We start from the raw sequence: 21,152 nt of genomic DNA, 5'->3' as shown, positions 1-21,152 counted from the left end.
TCCAAATAGGCCCCCTAGGCATTGTGCCTCTTTCTTGGTTGCAGGAGGGGCCAAATGCAGCAACTTGTCCTTTACCTTAGAAGGAATATCTTGACAGGCTGTACACCACTGGACCCTTAGAAATTTTACTGAGGTAGAAGGTATCTGAATTTTAGTCGGATTGATTTTTCATTCTCTGGCGTGCAAATGTTTTCACCAGTAAGTCCAATATGTTTGCTACTTCCTGCTCACTGGATCCAATCAGCATAAGGTCATCAATGTAATGGACCAGTGTGATATCTTGCAGAAGCAAAAAGCAATCAAGGTCTCTCCGAATAAGATTATGACACAAAGCCAGAGAGTTGATATACCCCTGAGGTAGGACAGTAAATGTGTATTGCTGGTCTTGCCAGATGAAGGCAAATTGCTTCTGGTGGGCCTTATGGACAGAAATGGAGAAAAAGGCATTTGCCAAGTCAATGGCTGCATACCAGGTACCAGGAGATGTGTTAATTTGCTCAAGCAATGAAACTACATCTGGCACAGCAGCTGCACTTAGAGTCACCACTAGGTTAAGCTTATGATAATCCACTGTTATTCCCCAAGATCCACCTGTCTTCTGCACAGGCCAAATGGGAGAGTTGAACAGGGATGTCATGGGAGTCACCACCCCTGCGTCTTTCAAGTCCTTGATGGTGGCACTGACTCCGCAGTCCCTCCAGGAATGCAATATTGTTTTTGATTTACTATTTTCCTAGATAGAGACAACTCTAATGGCTTCCATTTGGCCTTTCCCACCATAATAGCCCTCACCTCATTAGTCAGGGAGTCAATGTTGGGGTTCTGCCACCTGCTAAGTATGTTTATGCCAATTATGCAGCCTGGCACTGGGGGATTGACCACAGGATGAGTCCAGGGACCCGCTGGACCCACTGTAAGTCAGATCTGAGCTAAAGCTCCGTTAATGACATGACCTTCATAAGCCCCTACTTTAACTGAGGACCACAATGATGTTTTGAGTCCCCTGGAATCAACGTCAGCTCAGAGCCAGTGTCCAGTAGTCCCTGAAATGTCTGATCATTTCCCTTTCCCCAATCCACAGTTACTCTGGTAAAAAGCCAGAGGTCACCTTGGGGAAAGATGGGAGAAAGATTTGTTGCATAAATTGTTGGTAATGTAGTAGGGTCCTTCCTCAAGGGGACCCAGCCTCCCCTTCATTCAAGGGGTTCTGGGTGTGTAAACTGACTCAAGTCTGGAAATTGATTGAGGAGCCGTGATTCTGTTTTTCTAATTCAAATTAGTCTTTTATCCATTTCACCTAGAAGCTTTCCGCTTGTATAAATTAAGTAGGAATGCAGTAAGCTTCCTATCAATTTCACTTCTAGGAACACTGTGATTAATTAGCCAATGCCATAGCTCTACACTAGTCAGACTATTCTGATTGCCTCATTGCCTCTGCCGTTCATTGTCGTAGCTGCACCCACCTTGCCTTTGATGGTCGAGTGCTGCCACTTGGCCCCTGCCACCTTGGTATCTAATTAGCAAACAGAGGTATTGGGGTGGATTCTGAGGAGAATCAACATTATCTTGCCTGGCAACTGCCTCAGAAGAGGTCATCACTGTTCCCTCAGGCAGCGCAGGGTTTATCTCCTCAGACAGAGGTGCAAAGGCTGGTGGCAGCATGGGTCGGGAAGGGGATGTTGCCACTACTGGGAATAGGGAAATTCCTTCTGGCAAAAATGGTTCATCAGAGTTTACAAACTCAGTGTGCCCAGCTTCATCAGGGTCCTCCCAAATGTCCCCATTCCAAGTTGCAGGGTCCCATTCTTTTCCAATCAATGCCCTCACTTTAACAGTAGACACCTGGCGAGGCTGTGCACGAACCTTTTGTTTCAGGTCAGCCACTCACATCATAAGGGCTTGTGTCTGTTTTTCCACAATTTCAGCTCTTTCTCTACAGGAGGTAAGACTCTCACTCAGGGCAATCTTAGCAGATTTGAGGTTCAGTATCTGCTTCTGAAGCCCGGAGACAGAATCCCTGAGTTCATCATTTTCTTTCATCAGTTTGTCCACTGAACTTGGGAGCAACCAACAAGCTGCATTATGTTCCTTGGTTCTCCACATATGGTCAAAGGTATTATGTATAGAGTGAGTGAACTCCTTGCTTCTCACAAGCGGTGAATCAGGAGTGCCAAATGCATTTATTTTGCATAAGTCTAAACAGTTTCCGCCTAGGACTTATCAGTATTCTCCATACTATTAGAAGCAGAGTCCTTAGCATTTTGGGGTCTAATCATATTAAGCAACCAACTCCAGAAACCCCAAAACCAATGAAAGAACTCCATCCTTAATATTCTGTTCCTCTACAACCACTCCTGGTACCAAAATCTGTATTCCTCAGAGTTCCCTAGAGGGACAGAACTAATAGGTAGATACATACATATAAAGGGGAGTTTATTAAGTATTAACTTACACGATCACAAGTTCCCAGAATAGGCTGTCTGCAAGCTTGAGGAGCCAGGAGAGCCAGGTCCGAGTCTCAAAACTGAAGAACTTGGAGTCCTGGAGTCCAATGTTTGAGGGCAGGAAGCGTCCAGCATGGGAGAAAGATGTAGGCTGGGAGGCTAGGCTAGTCTCTTGCTTCATGTTTTTCTGCCTGCTTTATATTTGCTGATGGCTGATTAGATGGTGCCCACCCAATTAAGGGTGAGTCTGCCTTCTCCAGCCCACTGACTCAAATGTTAATCTCCTTTGGCAACACCCTCACAGACAGACACACCAGGATCAATATTGCATCCTTCAATCCAATCAAGTTGACACTCAGTACTAACCATCACAGTTAGTATAGGGGTGGAGGGAGAGAAAAAATATTATTTTTTCTTACTACCCACAGATATCTAGACTTCGAAGGAGTTTACTCTGCACGATAGATGTGTTCCTGAAAAGTTCATTGAAAGCACAATTTCTCTTAGTCGCATTTTATCTTCTTACCAGCAGTTTCAGGGCTTATCCAGCTTCATTCTGCCCGCTGTTTCTTCACCGATGGAGCTCAATGTCTGTGTCCCCTGTCACGTTCTCATCACTTTGAAAATGGGAAATGATTGGCAGGCAACCCTAGGACACCACACTTCTAAAACTGGCCACAGCTATCAGCTAAAGGGAGCAATGCCAATATGAGGTGGGCCCACATTGTGTGAGATGGAAATTAATGAAAGCAGCCCTGGGTTGATACTCACATCCTCTGCTGGAGAAATTAACAGCAGTGTTTATCTCTGCTAAATCTAGGCATGGTGTATTATCGAGAGGTTTCCTGTCAGGTCCAATTTGGGATCATCAAATTAATTGTTACGTGTGACAAGCTGACATGCAAAGAAAGCAATAAATACCTCAGTGCCAGCTCCTTGTTGGAATTCCATGGTGAGTTCCCAGGGCCAGGGGGCATGAATGATAAATGAGGCTAACAGCCTCCCTGCCTACAGCAGCCTGCCCTTTCTCTCCGTGGCATCGGAAGACTCACCCCTGTTTTCCTTGAGACCTTAGTTAACTCACTCACTTCCTAACAACTGCGTTAATTCTTCTTAGCATTTTTCTTTTGCTTCTGAGAGGTGCTATGTACCTAGAAATGACCCAGCAGCTTCTTCAAAAGTACCTTTGCTGGGTCTTCAGGAACTGCCTGGTAATTGACCCACAAGACATTGCCAGTTTGCCTGCGTTTCTCAAGCTCAGAAGATTTTGCTGTAGGAAGCCCCCGGCAGCTCAGGCTTCTACTCCATGTCCCCAAGGGTGGAGTGGTGCAAGGTGTGGCCAGGCACTGTTTAGAACTGGAGTGAGTGGCACCTGGAGGTGGGTGGGGCATCAGCCTGATGGGTTGGAAGTTGCTCCTGTTGCTGTCCTGGGCCCTGTAATCTGGCTGCCATTCCTATTACTTCACAAATACTCCCTAGTGCAAGTACAGCAGCATCCTTCCAAGGACCAAACCCAAGGGACATCAGGCTACTGTGTCTTTAACCTCTCCAACATTTTACATTTGGGGCCTCCTCCTCTCCTCCAAAAACAGGAACTCAGCAACTGTCCATATAACTCCCTGCACTTTGGACACAAGCAAATTTAAGTCACATTTGTGGCACAACTCTGGAAGACACAGAGACCCTTATGGCGTGCATATCTGTATATTCGTATGTGTTAGTCCATTTTTGCCCTATAGCAGTGCAAATACCTGGGAATACCTGAGACTGGGTAATTTATAAGAAAAGAGGTTGAACTGGCTCATGGTTCTGCAGGCCGAACAGGAAACATGGCAACTTGTGCTTCTGGGGAGGCCTCAGGGAGCTTCCAATCAGGCAGAAGGCAAAGGGGGAGCAGGCGTCTCACATGGTGGGAGCAGGAGCAAGAGAGCAAGAGGGGAAGTATTACACACTTTTAAACAACCAGGTCTCACGAGAGCTCACTCACAACTGTGAGGACAGTACCAGGGGGGTGGTACTAAACCGTTCATGAGAAATCCACCCCCATGATGCAGTCGCCTCCCACCAGGCCCAGCCTCCAACATTAGGGATTATGATTCCACCATGAGAATTGGTGGGACACAGATCCCCATATCACCATGTATCTGCATATCTATGCTTCCTCACTTTTCAAATCCTTTTGAATTTTTTTCTGTATATTTTTCCTGACTTTGTTTTTATTTGTATTACCTGTTTTCTTGCCGTAAGAAGTATGAGGTACAGTTATCAAAATATTACTTTAAATTGTAATTTTTTTTAAGATTTAATAACAAGGTCTCCTGATAGGTCTGATCACTGCCATCACTTTAGAGTAGTGATGAATGTCAACGGTAATTCTAGGTATGTGCAACAACAGGAATGTGATATAAAACTATTAATATCTGTGATTTCTATTGATGAAAAAATTACAGGCACTGCTGATGCTGCTGAGTTCACCCTGAGAAGGCCGGCTAAATATCAGTCAGATGTCAGTGGAGATAAAGATGTGGGGTTGGCTGGTTTGTTGGTTGGTTTTCCCCCAGCCTAGTTCATGGGTGTCCTGAATTTTATTTCTGGGCCCATTAGATTAAGAATCTTTACCTTATACCTCCTAGATCTGTGTTACGTCAAAACATATATGTCTACTCTCATTTTTTATTACATCAGACAACTTTCCAAAGGTGTGGATCTCAGCGTGACTCTCACGGTTCTACACCCCATATGCCCTTTCCATGTGGAAAGAACCCACGGCCTAGTTTAAGTGATTCCATTGCAAGGCTGCTTTGCTGCGAGTCCTAATTACCCTTTTCATTGTCAAATATTAAGAGGAAATACATGGGCAGCCTGATGGGATCTTGACTGCTCCCTGACGTTCAGTTCTCAGACCTCTGCTTTCTTCTGTTTACCGTCCATTAGAGAACTTGCATGTTCCCGCCTTTGTCATCACCCGAATGAGGAATAAACACAGCAGCACTTGCCCAGCCCCGCTTCCCCGCCAGAGCACACCAGGCGTGCCTGCTGGCTGGAGGGACGGCTCCTTGCTGGTCCAGCTTTACCTCAGCCTCTAGTGGACGGAGTGCACAGGGCTTGGGGCAGGAGACTTGGGTTTGAGTACCAGCTTTGGGACCTGTTGCCTGTGTGATTGTGGAAAACACTTCAGCTCTCAGGGGGGCTTCTTAGCTGGAAAGTGGGGGTAAAACAGTAACCCCTGTCAGATGAGAAGATGCCAGCCTTGAGCAAGATAAAGCACGTTATGAATGGCTGTTGGTGGTGGTTCTCTGTTTCACTCTTCTGCCTCCCTCATTCCCTGCTCCTCCTGGGCTTGAAAATCAGTCATTGTGATCTCCTCCTCTGCTGCCCAGCCCAGTCCTGCTGTCGTGCCTGGAACGTAACTCCCACAAGGAACTGCTCTGACTGCCACAGATCCTAGACTTGGTTAGCCACAGAACCTCTTACTGGTCACCTTGTCTCAGTCTTGCCCTAGTCAGTTGACCTTCGATTCCAATGTTAGGTTGTCTTGCTGAGATTCCAGTTTCCCCACCCTGTAACCTTTGCTTCCTAGGAATCGATTATGGAGCCTTTGGCTTGGGAAGGTTGCCTGTGGAGTTCATCCTGAGAGGGCATGTTAAATATCAGTCAGATGTCAACAGAGATAAAGATGTAAGGCAGATTGGTTGGCTGGTTGGTTGGCTGGTTGGTCGGCTGGTTGGTTGGTTTTCCCTCAGCCTAGTTCATGGGTACATGTGTCGTATGGAGGCCTGCACTAATGAGTAGATGCCTTGGGGTCCACCTCAGGCTTCTCCCTCCCCCACTTCAATAGGAGCCCCACCTAGATCCATTTGATATCTTGAGGTTCCATTCAGATTTGATGTTTTAAAACAGGATCTACTGCTACAGACAGAGAAGTTGATAACCACTGAAAGAGTTCAATGTAGTCATTCTGCAACTGAATAACAGAAGCCCTGAGAAGCTAAGGGCATTCCCGCCAGCTTCAAGGCTAATGTGTAGACCCACAGGGCTTCCCTTGCCCTAGTCTAGAACTCTCTCCCCTGTGCCATGTTGGTCCTGTGGGTTCCTGCCCTTTGTAACCGGTCATTTAAGGCCCTGCCCAGTCTCCCCCACCCCATCCAGCCCTCCTCACAGACATCAATGTCTACCTTTTCCATGAATCAGGACCTGAGAGGCCAGAATCTACTCGGCAGAATACACCGTGCTCAGTCCTCCTCTGCACCTCTCCTGCCCTTCCTATGTGGAGGGGTCTCCCAGTCCCTCCATACCCTGAATTGTGCCGGTCCTTCCAGGCCCCACTGAAGCGGCTTTTTCAAAGCCTTACCTTATGACCCCAGCCCACAGGAGCTTCCCCCATCCGAATTCTTTCTGCACATGCTGTGTGTGTTGCTGTGTTAGTTTGCTAGGGTTGCCTTAACAAAGTGCCACAGACTGGGTGGATGAAACAGCATAAGTTTGCTGTCTCACAGTTCTGGAGGTTGAAAGACCAAGGTGTCAGCAGGGTTGGTTCCTTCTGAGGCCTTTCTCATTGGCTTGTAGATGGCCGTCTTCTCCCTGTGTCCTCAAACAGTCTTCTCTCTCTGCCTGTCTGTGTCCTGCTCTCCCCTTATAGGGACACCAATCATATTGGGTGAGGGTCCACCCTAATGATGTTGTTTTAACTTAATCACCTCTTTAAAGGCCCTGTCCCCAAGTAGAGTCACACTCAGAGATTCTGGGAGTTAGGACTTCAACATAGGAATGTGTTGCTGGGAAGGACGGGGGTGAAATTCAGCCAGAACAGCCTCTCACTTGGCACACAGTGGTTGCCTGCCTCAAGTCCTTCCTGCCCTGCCTGGTCCTGCGTTTGAGGAAGGATTATGTAGTATATTACTTTGTACCCACGCAGTGCTTGCAAATGCTAGACACATGTCATTTTTCAATGAAAAACTAACTTGCTCTTGAGTCCCAAACTTGGGTTTAATGAAGCCAGTGAATCAGCAGTTCTTGAGGCTCTATTCAGAGCACTGTGTGAGAAAGAGTAAACAGACGTCCCACCCAGAGTAAGGTGGCTGAGGTCTCATCAGGAAGATGGGGATAGACAGTTGGAGGGCAGGGTGGTGAGAAGCACCGACTCCAGGAAACACAGGAAGCGCTGTCAGAGTTCAGAGGATTTTTAATGCCGATAGAGTAAGAGAGCGTAGAAGTTATGGCTCTCACAGAGCATAAACGCTGGAGGTAGGTGCACGTGTGTCCTCAGAGGACCAGTGTGGGGGCAGTCATTAGGAGAATCCTGTAAACACTGCTCCTTCCTCAAACCAGGGCAGTTACGCCCCGGTGAGACCACCTTTGTCTCCAGTCCCACCCTGTCTGAGGCTGGCCTTCATAGAGGGTGGATGCAGACATGGATCGCCTGGCATCAGGGCAAAGTTCAAATGAAATTCTGATGAAGGTAAAAGCCCCAGGCCACCCCGGGTGAGCGGACTTCAGCCACCAACTGGGAGCCATGCGCTGCTCTTGGCCCTGCTGATCCCGAGGTCTGCTCACACCTACCTTCCCCTTGCTGTGTACAGCAGAGCAAAACCCTTTTCTCTCCCCTCATTTCAAAACATGGGAGTGTGGACCCCATGGCCATATTTATTTCACGTTGACAACTTCAGATGTTTCAAGAGTTCAAGTCTTAGATTCACTGATGTTTAATTAAAGACCTCAGTTGTTATTTATTAGCTGCACTGCCTTTTCTCTTTGTCTCTTCTGTCCTCACACAACACACTCCAGGGTAAATTCATTTCAGCCACAGTTTCTCACACCGTGCCTCTGCGGACAACCCCTCAGCCCTCACCACTTCCCCTGGCTCAGCTTGGTATTGCTAACTGGGCAGCTTGATGCAGATGCCTGAGATACCTTCAGTTGTCCCAGACAATTCCATTTGCCCCTCCCTTTCATACCTGCTTCTCACTGACTCCACAGTGTCCCTTAACACCCGGTGATTGGGACTCAGGCACAGGTGCAGGGCTGAAGGACACTCCCAGCCTGCTTGCCCTGTCACCCGCAGAAGTCAAGGCACGTCCTGCCTTCAGGGCACCTTCTCCAGCCACCCTCCCAGGCTCTGTGCTTCCCACCAGCCCGTCCATTGGTGTGGACCCTCGTGCCTTCCTCTGCACCCTCCAGAGCACACCCATCATCCCACCACACTTCCAGGCCCGATGCCAGAGGCCTCCTGACCTCACTCAGAGCGCTCTGTGGCCTCTAAGCCCCATGAAAGGCTTCTGTGGCCCCCTCATGGTTCTGTCCGTATTGGGGCTGTGGACACGTTTCCCAGGAGGCCTCTCAGTGCAGTGGGGTGAACACAGAGAACAGGAGCTAAACCTGCCTCTGCCAGGGCCATTCTGTGGCTTGGGTCAGATAACTGCAACTCCCTGAGCCTCAGCTTCTCATCTTGGAGATGGGCCTGTGATATCCGTTTACAGGACTTTTCAGGGGATTTGGTGTGATTGAGGCTGTGAAGGCTTCCTTATGGCCCCTGGCCAAAAGCAGGCCCTCAGAAGGGCCCTAGCCACCTCTCCCTGAGGCTTCGGGGCTGGATTGTTTTGTAGCCGAGGGAAGGGGAGGGGTCGTTTGCTGAGGAAGTGATTTTTCCCTGTTTTGTTTCTGAAGGTGGAGGTGACGGAAACTCCCAGGCAGCCCCTTTATGTGGGCACTTCTCCCTCATCACAGAGCCTGGCAATCAGCCTCGAGCAGCGCCAGCATCACCTGGGGCTGGTTACACACAGATCGCTGGGCCTCTGTGTTTGAGGAAGGCTTATGTAGTATATAGAAATGTGCATTCTGACCAGTCCCAGGTGAATCCATACCGATGCCCTGGGTCCCAGGACATCATTGCCCTAAAGAATACAAGAAGGGCTGCAGTGCCCAGCACTCTTCCCTTTGGGGGTATTCCCTGGGACATGTTCCAGGTGGGTAACTGTCAGCCTCTGGTCCATTGCCCGCATTTTCAATGCCCTTGTGGAGGGTGGGAGCCCTGCTGTGCAGCAGAGTTCCAAGCCTGCTCCTTGGCTTCCTGTCATGTGGTCAGAGGCAAGCAGCCTCTAGGATTCTCTCCTGGAAATTCATTATGCACCTTAGCTTGTGACCTGGCCTGGAGACCATGCCTCGGAGAAAGCCACACAGCCCTGTTTAACCATTTGCCAAACCCATCTGACCACGAGGCAACCCTCTGGGCAGTGCAGTGGGATGTTTTGAACACACCCAAGCAATGAGGTTGGAATTGAAAATCCTTTCCAAGCTCTCCCCAGTGGTGGGATTGATGTACTGGGCTCCCTTACCTACCTCGTTACTCTGGGAGTGTCCTGCGTTTGGGTCTGGCACACCACACCATGCAGTAGTCACACTGTGTGAGCTCCACGGCTGCAGCATCGCATAGTCGGACTTTTATTCATCTTCTTTCCCCAGTAACTCACCTGGGTTTTTATAGGAATGCATGTACACGTCCTGAATAGCAAACCTAAAAACATTTATAATGCATACCTCATACAGTAGAACTTCAGCTATTTGTGTTAATTATAGTGAATGGTAGTCAGATGTGCTTTTTAAAAATCCAGATTATTAAATACAAAGAAATATGGTGGTACTTTCATGATCAAGCCATGGCACATGCTTGTCTATTCCAGAGGTGCCAGGTGAATTCCTCGTAGAGGAGATGTGACTGAAAGCACAAAGGAGGATTACTTGTAATGAACGTATCAATTATTTGTAGATTGAGGGTCTTTTGATTTTAATATTCTTTCTACTATCTTGTTTATGTTGCCTATAACCTTTGACCCAATGAACATGAACTTCAAATTAGTGAAATCCAACGAAATAAGGTTTTACTCTGTCAGAAAAATCACTCACCCAACAACAGGCACAGCTGTGCTCCTGTGCTCCTGCACCCTAGTTAGAGGTGCTGAGAACATTTCACAGCATCCAGAGCCTTATCTGTTGACCCCAAACGCATTCCTATATGGGCCTGCAGTGTAGGAGTCCACCTGCACAACCGCACAAGGACTTTCCCCCATTGCTTACGATGACAAAGAAAAGTGGAAGTGTGGAAACTGTTATCATTAATAACATGGTTTCAGAGTCGCTGTGCTTTTCACACTGTACGCTATAGCCCGTTGGTGGGTCATGAAGTCAGTTGAGTGGATGGAGATCAGCAGGGATGGGACCATACAGATCCCATATTACATGGGATTAGTGCATCCCAGGATACAAGGGGCAGAATTGTTTGTTTAGGGAGATATGTGCGTGTGTGTGTGTGTGTGTGTGTCTGATATGTGTATATGTGTATGCCTGTGTGCGTGTATGTGTCTGCATGTGTGTGTGTATGTATGTCTGTGCATGTGTGTATGTGCGTCTGTGTGTATCTGTGTGTGTATATGTGTGTGTCTGTGTCTGTGTGTCTCTATGTGTGTGTGTGCACTTGTGCCCACTGCATCACAATGTAAAATGATCCAGGTTTTTATTGTGGGTCATACTGAAAATGTAGGAAAGCCATTTGATAGAAAATCTTTTAAGCAATTCCAGAGTAGAGAAGAATTAATAATTTGGTTTAAAAATTTTCCTCCTCAAAGTGGTCATTTCAGTTTATATTCTCCCAAGTTATTTCTCTGCTCTGACAGCATATGCCCTTTATAATCTGCCTGTTGGTATATCTGCCTGGAGTTGTAACAATGCTCAAGTTTGTATTGCCCGTGAAATTCCTTTGTACTTAATATTAAAGGATGATTCAGCTCTTCAGTGTAGCATCCAACTCTTAAGAATTTCAAGCCTAAATAAGAATTAGAGCCACTTGGAGGTAGCGACAGCATGGGGTGAGGCACCAAATTAATGTGATTCATGGAGAATTTAATCTAAAAGAGAACTGGATGATGAGCAGAGCCAGTACTCATCCAGTGCCACCCATCCATCACACCATCTTTGCACCATAGCACCTGTGCATCACATGATTCCTATGCCACGCCACCTGTGTGCCATACCACCCACACACCACACCACCCATGCATCACACCACCTGTACATCACGCCGCCTGTGCACCACACTGATCGCAAATCACACCACCCGTGCATCACACCACCTGTACATCACGCCGCCTGTGCACCACACTGCTCACAAATCACATCACACTGCCTGTGCACCACACTGATCGCAAATCACACCACCCCTGCATCACAGCACCCATGCATCACACCACCTATGCATCACACTGCCTGTGCACCACATAGTTTATGCACCACATCACCCGTGCATCACACCACCAGCTCTCCTGCCCTCAGCTCAGTGCTGGGGCCACATTGTTACGGGGTTTTGAATATGAATCTTTAAATTACTCAAGTTTGTGCTGCTGTTGAGAAAAGGCAGAATGCACCCTTGGGCAGTTCTCCCATTCCCGAACCCACCCACATGTCTGCCTCTCAACACTTGCTCAGCTGACTAAGCTACACCTTTCAGATATCAGCTGAAATCTCACTGGCCCTCCAAACCAGTTTAAACCCCTGCTGTGTGCTCCTTTAGCACCTTGGCCTTCCCCTTCATAGCACTTGGCTTAAATGTAAATGCCCAGTTGAGTTTTCATTATTCATTTGACATTGAGCCCCAGCCACCTCAGACGTTGCAAACTGGCCGACTGACTTGGGGACAGACCCATGGCTTTTTTTAAGGCCAGTCCCCTCTGACTTCTCCATGTGGGTTTTGAACTTAGCCTGCCATCCTTCCCTCTTATAGTTGTGGGAATTCAGATCAAGAAAGGAGGAAGCGCGTGACCAGGTTACCTAATTAGGGGAGGACACAGGATGTTCGTGTTGTTCATGAAGATGGACCTGAAGCATGCCGTGTGCATCGGGTTTTTCTGGGCTTTTCTGGAATGCTGAGCCCTTTTCTCGAGGGCAGTGCTCCCACCTACAGCATAGGATCAGGTGCACACATCTGTTGGCCTCTTCATTAGGTACAATTTAATGTATTAAATTTGGATACTGTTTCTAGGTTAGTAAAAGTGTGTCTTTATCAAATCCGATCATCATTTTTGTCTCATAAACAAGAGACAAGAAATTCTTCCAGGTAAAATGTTTCTCAACTGCCTCGTCACTGATTAGTAAAGTGAGTTTGTCTTAACAAGTCCATCTCTGTCCGATTTTCTGACAAACCAGGTAACATTTGAATAAATTCTCAAGATTGTGCCCAAGCCATATAAGGCATTAATGCATTTGAGGTTTGGATTTGAAAGCATCAGCTGCAGTTAGGAGCCCAGGCTTCGGTGTCACACTTGTGAGTTTGGTTCCTAGCTTCTCCTCTTACTCACTGTGTAGCCTTAGGCAGGTTATTCAACCTCTCTGTGCATGTGTCCTTATCTGTAAACTGTGATTATTAATAATATTACCTAAGCTGACTGTTGTGAAGATTACATGAGTTAATGTGTCTCCAGTACATAGAATAGTTCTGGGCCCAGAGTCAGAAAGAAATACTAGCTATTATTAGTAGTATGTTCATTAGTAGTTGATGTATCGCCATCATTTTATAGTCAAGCACCTAGAACTAAAAGTTATCCTAACACCCTGTAAGTGGATGGCTGTGGTTAATACAGAATATTTAGGCAAAATGTGTTTATGAAGACACTTCTGCCTGTTCTTGTTGTGTACTGCTTTCCATGTTGTGCTGTTGGATGCAAATGCCGATGTGAGCTAAGCTCTCTGCAGTCCAGAGGGCGGAGGTGACTGTGGCTTCTTTCTCATCTACCTAAAATGATGCATATTTGAGAAATGCTTTGTTTCTGGGGCTCTCACATGATTCAGGGGCAGTAAATCCCCAAAGGAATGTCACTTTTTTTATGGCTCATGGAACTAATGTCTCACCAAGCACACCTGGTCCAGCATACCCACCTAACCAAGGATTTCATAATTTGTGGAATTTTTCAACACATAGGTATATCAAATCATAACAAAAGAAAATCAGCACTCAAAGGTATGACTGCACCTTACATTTAAATCTGCTTCTCTCCCCATGAAAGATGATACTGAGTAGGAAAGGAAAACTGCAGGAGGGCAGAGAGCATCTTAGACCAAAGTTGAGTTCTCCTTTCTCTATGAAAAATGCCCGTTGTCTGACAGGTTTCGCCCAGATAGTACACACCATGAGGGCATGTGGCCCTGCATGGAACTGCTTCTGTTTCATCACAAATGACAAGGCAGCTGAAAGGCTGGGGCCAAATGCACAGCCTTGTTCTCACACAGCAGTGGAGAGAGCCCAGGCTTCTGCCACACAGACTTGTCCTTCCAGTGACCAAACAGCACGTGACCCAGTGGTGGAGAAAAGGAGGATGGAGAAATGGATTCCCTAGCCTGGGCCTCCCACTAGATCACTGTGACCCCTATTTAGCCTCCGAGGTAAAACTCTTTCCAAAATGTGTAAACCACCTTCACCTCTACATAAAATATGGAACACAATTGCAACTCAGCCTTTAATACATGTGTCACGACCGTGTGTAGTGTGGGCCGCGGTGGGCTGATGCTAATGGAAGTTCTGCCCAAAAGGCTTCCTGATTCAAACGCATCAGGAAATGGGTGAAAGGAAGTTAATCTGGTTTCCTTAAGATGACTCAGAGCCCCATTACACTAAGGGGCATTTCAGTCTCTCAGAGGAGGATACAGGAAGTAGTGTTTCCAGAATTTAGTTGACCACAGGCTACTCAAATTGCATTGCAGGATGAGAGCCAGGCAGAATGTATTTTGGGCCACAATTCTGAGGTTGTGCATCCGACAGGTGTAGGAAGACCAGAGCTAGCCAGAAAGTTTGAGGACCCACGTGCTTGTCCTGGCTCCACTTCCTCCCATTCCCTCGACCACAGGGACTGTCTACCTCTAAGCTGCTTTCTCACCTGTATGAAAAGGAGGTCAGTGATGCTTGTGGGCTCCTGGCCCTGTACACTGCGCAGGAAAGACTGAGGGATCACAGGCAACGGGCTCTAGAATCAGTGAAAGGCCACACAAACAGAAGACAGGTGTTGGTGCTCAGTTCTATTAACCCAGAAAAGACCAAGATACAATTTGGGGAAAATTCCCTGATTACATTTGTTCTATTCTGCTTTGCCAAGGGTTTCACTTAATTGAATGAATCCAATTTTACTCTATACAGATAAGTGTATAGAGCTGACCATGGCATCTCCATGTAATCCAGGAGTAATCTTTTTACCTCCTGACAGTTTTACCGTCTTACCTGTTTCTAATCCATTTCCCTTTCTTGGCAGCAGACTGGGCGACAGCACAGAGACACATAGGAAGTGGTGAGCGGAAAGTGCCCATGTCTCCAAGGCAAATACACATTCCAGAGCACTCAGAAAACTGCAGAGGGCTTTATGTTTTCACACTGAAACTCATGGTGGCAAAAATTGAGCTGATGTGAGGATATTTATGGTCCCTAAATCCTACTTAGTGTAATATCCATACATTTTGCTGTAGAAAAATTAATGGGTTTGAATATGGGGTGCTGCCCAAGCCCCTCCAGAACTGTTCACTATATATGATTTTTATAACATATTGCCTTTATAAAACTTGAAAAATCCTGAATTCTGAAACCTATGTAGCCCCAAGGGCTCCAGGTAAAAGAGATCAGGGACTATAAAGGAAACTCTGGGGTACAAAGGCACCTGTGGAGATGAAGGTCACCAGGCTGGCTGGTATTTGACAGGCAGGACGCCCTGTTCCCAGGTTCAGGCAAGAGGTTGCCCAGCCCTCGGGATGCTGCTTTCTGCCACAGCATGGTGCTGTGAATTCTCCCCCTCTTCACCGCTGCTGTATTTTTTGTGAAGCCATAGAGACAAGCCAGTGCCTGGCCCCCAGCAAGGCTGGAGAGGCAGTGAAGGCACATCCCCACAGCCACGCCCTGCGCTGTCCTCTACCTGGAGTCCTTGGGCAGCCAGCCAGGGGAAGGCTCCCTGTGCCCCCCACACCCAGGCTGCTGTGTAAAGAAGCAATTGGCATGAGCCCCAGGACACTAGCTACTGCCAAAGCCAGCAGTATTTTATGAGCCTTAAAAAATCTTGTTGTACCAGTCCGTTATGAATTATTGAATTAACACTGCATATTTATAGCAACTTCTTAATAGTTTAATAATTTATTCATCCCTTATGGATCCTTTGGCATATTTCTTTTAATTGTTAGAGTAAAGAGTTTTTTTAGAGCTAACTTCACTGGACTACTTCCTCAATGATGCTTCCAGAATACTAAAATAGAATCCTGCACAGTTGTTCCGAAGCTTAAAGCACCTGATGCGCAGCAAAGACCTGCCCACATGCGAGTCGGTGACACCCCCCCTGCCTGTGCACAGGGCTGCAACTACTCTGTAGAAGCCCACAGCCAGCCAGGCCCAGCTCTCAGCCCCAACTCAGCACACTAGCATTTCACAGCCTACACTTGGATTACGTGTCTTCTGAGACAGTTTAGGAACCTAAGCATCATTCATATTGTTTCTAAAGGGAAAAACATCTTACTGTGTCCCAACAAGTAAGCTCCCTATTTTGGGAGCACCCCTGCTTTGTAAGATGTGTCCTACTGCCCAGAGTGAGTCATTCCTCACAGAGCCCTGCTCCTAGGTGCTTGGTGATAAGGGGAATCAACAGAAACAGGCTGTTTCCCAGCATTCACTTGCAGATGACTAAACCCAGAAATTGTGGAGTAGCCTTAGGTAAGGAGACGAAAGTTGAAAACTTAAGACCCAGATTCTTCAGGCATTTGAGACTCTGGCTGAGGAGGCAAGGCATGCCAGATCGTTTATGCTCAGGGTAAGGGTGCACATCTGTCTGCATGTTACTGTCCCTTTTGCAAGGGTTTTTTTGGTCATGAGTGACATCGCACTTTATTAAAAAGACATGCTTTCTTAACAAGATGAGCTACCTTTGATGCTTAGTCTTTCTCTGGTTTAGGCAAGAGTCCTGCAAAGCCATCCAGCTGTTGTTGGCAGCTGCCAGGAGTTGCCATAAAGAAGGTAGATGGAGTTTTTCCTGTTGAATTCGTTAATTCAGGCTCGTGAATGTGGTCATTGATAACACCCCATCCCTCTTTTCCTTACCGCCTCTAGCTAATTGTGCTTATCATTTAAGCTTCAGCTCATGGCTCTATCACCATTCTCAAGTTTGCCTTGAAAAGATCTGAAGAAGTACCTGTTAGCCTGAGCTCCCTCTAAAGAGGGAGAAAAGCCAATCTTCCAGGTCAGTCTGGCAAAAGCTGGAGGAAGGGCCCATTTGCTTGGGGACTCCAGATATCAACCCATGGCCAGCAGATCCAGCTCAGCCAGATTGTCGGGTCACAAAAATAAATCCACTATCTCTAATCGCTCTTTTGCCTCTTTTGCAAGCCTTTGAGGCGGGCAGGGCATGAGAGTTACTCATTCCTAAGAAATGAGCAACAAACAGTTCCAGCTAAGCACCCTGGTTCATTCACTGCCTGGCCACGACCACAAACTTGTGCTAAGCTGAGGGTCGCTGACCGGTGATGTCATTTGGTGCTCAAAGCATTTGTTGAGTATGTGTGCGCACCAGACCATGTGCCAGGCGCTGGGCACACAACAAATTCCACCATGGTCCTTGACCTTGAAGGGGAGCCATGCGTGCAGAAGCCTAAAGCTGTGTTGTGATAAGCCTAAAGCCATGTTGGGAAGTTCTTATGGCAACACAGCTGGGAAAGTATAAGTCCTGCCCTTGGAGGGGAAGGAAAGTGATGGAAAGAGAACATGAGCCAGCCTTGAAGTTGCTGTTTATCAGCTGGCTCAAGTATCAAGGTGGAACCAAGCACAGGCAATCCGAGCATTTCTTCCATGAAAAATGAAACTTAAGTGTCCCGGAAAAGTTGAGGATCATACCAGAATTCTGTGTCTCAGCTTGGAGTGACCATGCAGCATATTTAGTCTGACATGCTTTGAGAGTGAAAGAAAGCACTGCTAGTAATAACACCAGGACCAATGCCTGAACCCAGACCGTCCCAGGGAATCAGGGACATAACCATCATCCTAGGGATAACTTGAGGCCTAATTTGCTGCCCTGAATGAAGTTCATTCTCCCTCTACTGGTCAGAGACGAGATGGCAGGGGATTGGTTGCACCACCCACTGCCCCCCCGCCCCCCGTCCCCCTCAACCTTTTTATTTATTTATTTATTTTAAGAAACTGATAGAAGACAAATACAATGTCATCTGACATTGCAATCATTATTGGAAACTACAATGCACAGTATGTTTGTACTTACATCCTTGAAAACCATTTTAGGGCTCTCAGCCCCGTTACTGAACCATAAAGATGCTGGGTTTAAAAATATTCAAATTGGTTCCTTATTGAGGCAAATGCTGAGGAAAAGCAGCAGATTGCATCTTGAGCTTGAAAAGAACTCCTCTTTGACTTGCGTTCTCCATGATACAGCTGACTTCTTTTAAATCGGTGTTGTGAGTTAGTGCTCCTGTTCCATCTTCACCTGCCTTTATTAAACAAGCAACACAGAGGCAGATGACTTCTCTGGGTGCTTTATGCATGTATCTCACTTTAAACACTGCGTTTTTTGTTTCCTTGGGAAATAAGCCCTCATAGCCAATGGTTGCTTCAGGTCTTGACCAAGTACCCGGATGCCCCAGCCAGATGCCATGGTTTGCCTCCTGGGTGTTCACCTCTCTGTGGGCTTCTTCCCTCTGGTTTCTAAGGTGACAGCTTGTTCATCAGATGCATGGAACAGCACAGACACAGGCATTTCACACCCGTCTATTCAGAGCAGGGGCCCCATGGCCCAGATTTTCTGGGAAAGTTCTGTTTTCACACATTCTGCCTTGTGCTGGTCAGCCAATGTATTCTGGTTTGAGATAACAGAATGTAAAACAGTAGGGCCATCTTACCTATAGCACGTGACCCAGAGAAACAAGGGCCCTGGGTTAGTTTGCAAAGCAGGTCAAGTCAGCCTTGAGTCCTATAATGCTGCAGAGAGCCCAGCACCCTCTTGCCGCAGCAAGGCCGGCCCCATCTGGGTGGTGGCTCCTGGGTCTCCAGCACCCAGCACTGGGCAGGCACTGGGTGGTTGCTCAGTGAATATTTACCTGATGGAAGCGCCCAGGCACAGTGGTGGTGAGCACAGATCCATGCACGCTGACTACCATGCCCCACACATCCACGCTGCCCCTGGGGCGCAACAGTGCCAGTGAGAACTCCCCACCAGAACCTGTGCCTCAGCTGAAAATTTCCTTCCCTTCTCCCATCCCTAACGACTCCCCTTCCTACAGGTCCCAGCAGATGTGAAAAGGAGAATAAAGAGCCTCCAGTTCCTCCTTTGGCCCCAACCTTAGTTTGCATTCTAATTCATTAACATTTGCAGGGTGGCTTGCAGCTGTCCTTAGAGATGGTGGTGGCAGTTCTCCTGAAATGCACCTGTGTTGTTCTTGCACTTTCTGTCACTTCTCAGTGGGCCTCAGAAGTCAGGTGGGTGGACTTATCTGCCCAGCCATGTGGAAGAAGGAAGGCTCTCATGTAGATGTCTACGTGTACATAGCGCCTCAAAGTGAGGATTATACACTACACATCAATTCCCCTCTGACGTCTTAGTGGAAAGTTTCCATTGAGCCCTAATGCTCCCTAGAAGTATGTCACATCCTGCCCGCGGAGGGGCCCACCCAGGGCCCCATTCTGGTTACCCTCTTCATGCTCGAGGTTGTGCCCTCCAGGTGCATCTCAGCTCGGAGAGGGGCCCTCAGGGTCGCAGCTTGCTCTGTCCATCATCCAGCATCTGCCTCCTCACTTTGTGAATAACAGGGCACATAGATATCTTCACTGGTGAGATTTGCTGGTGGTAAAGCATATTATCTGGCTGTCCTCATGGAAAGCAAAGGAAGCTCCCTCAAGGCAGGGGACACCCCAGGGAACCTTTGGGAGAAGCAGGAAGGAGTGAGAGCCGTGGGCCTGGGGCCTAGTGCAGCACACTCTGGAATTCCCCTTGCTTCCTGCCCCTGCCCTTTCATTCCTCTCTGGAAAGGCTCATTCACCAAGTTCACAGAGATTCTGTGGTTCCCTGCATGTCCTCAGGAATAGCTCTGGGGGAATTCTCATCCCTGATGGAGGATCAGTCTTGTGGAAGTCCTTCCTGTCAATAAGGACATTCTTAGTTTTCATGGGGTTGCCACAGAGACCGGCCACATCAAAATAGAGACAGCCCACTTTTCCAGAAACCCATGGTGACCTGCTTTCGCATTAGCTTCTGGTAAACCTCACAGGTGTGGCCTGTTGGCCTCTTGCTATTTAGGGAGCCCTCTGGGACCAGTCTTCACCTCAGTCCCTAACCCAGCGTCCTATACAGTGTGTGAACACCAAATGCCTGTTAGTGGAGAGGAGGAAGAAGATGACAGTGATAAGAAGCGGAGACAAGCTCCTATGTCCCTCCAGCAACTGGACAGGCAGGAAAAAGTAGGAGATGCTCCAGAGATTGTGCAAATGCTTCCTTATTTTCAGGCATGCTTGATACTTATAAACACCGTAGACAGACAGACAGATAGGTAAGTAGGTAGGTAGGTAGGTAGGTAGATGTGAACAAATGTGAACCTGGAAGGGCCAGTCTTCCAATATAGATCCTTAGTGGCTCACTGGGTCCAGATTTGAAATAGAGCCAAGTGGCCATTTGCCGACTAGGGGTCATACAGGTATGCTGAGATCCCCCCCAAACCTGCACCTTTTTATCTTTGGGACTTTTAGAGCTCACCTGAACCAACCAACCAGTACTCAGCCGTATCAGCCAATCAGAACTAAGCAAATTTCATTTTTTTTAATTTGAATAAACAGACCTGATTGGGAACCTGGGTGGGAACTTTTGCTCTAAAACCCAAGTCTTCCTTTGTTCTTTGGAACATACCTTCATTTTATATTGGAGGCTGTGTCTCCCTGGTTTGCAAACTGTTCACTGGAATAAAGTCTCTTTCCTCCAAATTCCTTTTTCAGAGAACTTTTGTTGACAGATAGATGGATGATTGATAGATAGAATGACACTCTACATATATATGTATAGTATGTGTGTGAATAAATGAATGAAACCAACTAATAAATAAACCACAATAAACCTTAGGGCCCTGAATATTAATTTACCCAGGAGAGACCCAGTCACTAGAGATCAGGGCATCATGAATAGTCAATATCAGGGAGTGAGTGAAGACTTTAATTAGTGGCTCACAGTGCATTTCTCGAAACCCAAACTTTAGGGGCCTTTGATGCTGGTCTATACCACAGCCTGCCCTGCTGCGCTCCCATTGTATTCTAATACTCGGCGGTGTTTGCTATAAACGTGGGTGAAGGTAGGGTTGTTGGGTTGAACGTAAGTTATCCCAACTCACTAGCTGGTTTTGGAAAGTAAGCAGAATTGGTTGTGAGTTTAGTTTTCTGTCTACTTGACCTTGCTCTCTTTTTTTTTTTTTTTTTTTTTTTTTGCTAAGTCTGGAAAAGGCCCAAGTGCTTGGTATGATCTGAGGAAGGGCCTTAGGAGGGTCCCCAGAGCTAGCATTTCCAGTCAGGTAGCAGTTGAATTTGCAGATCCAGAGACCACTGAGGACACTTACTGCATCAGCCTGGCTGGCTGGTGAGTAGCTGTGCTCTCAGCTCACCAACTCCCTCCCTTGCTGTGTGTGGGAAAGGTGGACTAAGGACATAATTCCTGGTGAATT

At 47.2% G+C, this 21,152-nt stretch overlaps 1 protein-coding gene across 2 annotated transcripts in view, besides 4 other annotated features; it reads left to right on the top strand.

Moving 5' to 3' along the window:
- Positions 1-21,152, top strand: part of DAP (death associated protein) — an 82,005-nt gene that overhangs the window by 42,034 nt on the left and 18,819 nt on the right. The gene's annotated exons all lie outside the window — the stretch shown is intronic.
- Positions 15,592-16,314: an enhancer, noted in NCBI's record as "H3K4me1 hESC enhancer chr5:10702999-10703721 (GRCh37/hg19 assembly coordinates)". NCBI's record gives its function as "activates a minimal SCP1, AML or CMV promoter by ChIP-STARR-seq in primed H9 embryonic stem cells {active_cell/tissue: H9 hESC(primed)}" and the evidence as "EXISTENCE:reporter gene assay evidence [ECO:0000049][PMID:30033119]".
- Positions 18,584-19,293: an enhancer, noted in NCBI's record as "active region_22380". NCBI's record gives its function as "activates an Ori minimal core promoter by ATAC-STARR-seq in GM12878 lymphoblastoid cells {active_cell/tissue: GM12878}" and the evidence as "EXISTENCE:reporter gene assay evidence [ECO:0000049][PMID:35858748]".
- Positions 18,584-19,671: a biological region, named in NCBI's record as "H3K4me1 hESC enhancer GRCh37_chr5:10699642-10700465".
- Positions 18,848-19,671: an enhancer, noted in NCBI's record as "H3K4me1 hESC enhancer chr5:10699642-10700465 (GRCh37/hg19 assembly coordinates)". NCBI's record gives its function as "activates a minimal SCP1, AML or CMV promoter by ChIP-STARR-seq in primed H9 embryonic stem cells {active_cell/tissue: H9 hESC(primed)}" and the evidence as "EXISTENCE:reporter gene assay evidence [ECO:0000049][PMID:30033119]".

This window comes from Homo sapiens, chromosome 5 (assembly GCF_000001405.40).
Source record: "Homo sapiens chromosome 5, GRCh38.p14 Primary Assembly".
NCBI classification, from domain to species: domain Eukaryota; kingdom Metazoa; phylum Chordata; class Mammalia; order Primates; family Hominidae; genus Homo; species Homo sapiens.
Note: the sequence above shows the minus strand (reverse complement) of the source record. Positions and strands in the feature narration are given on the sequence as shown.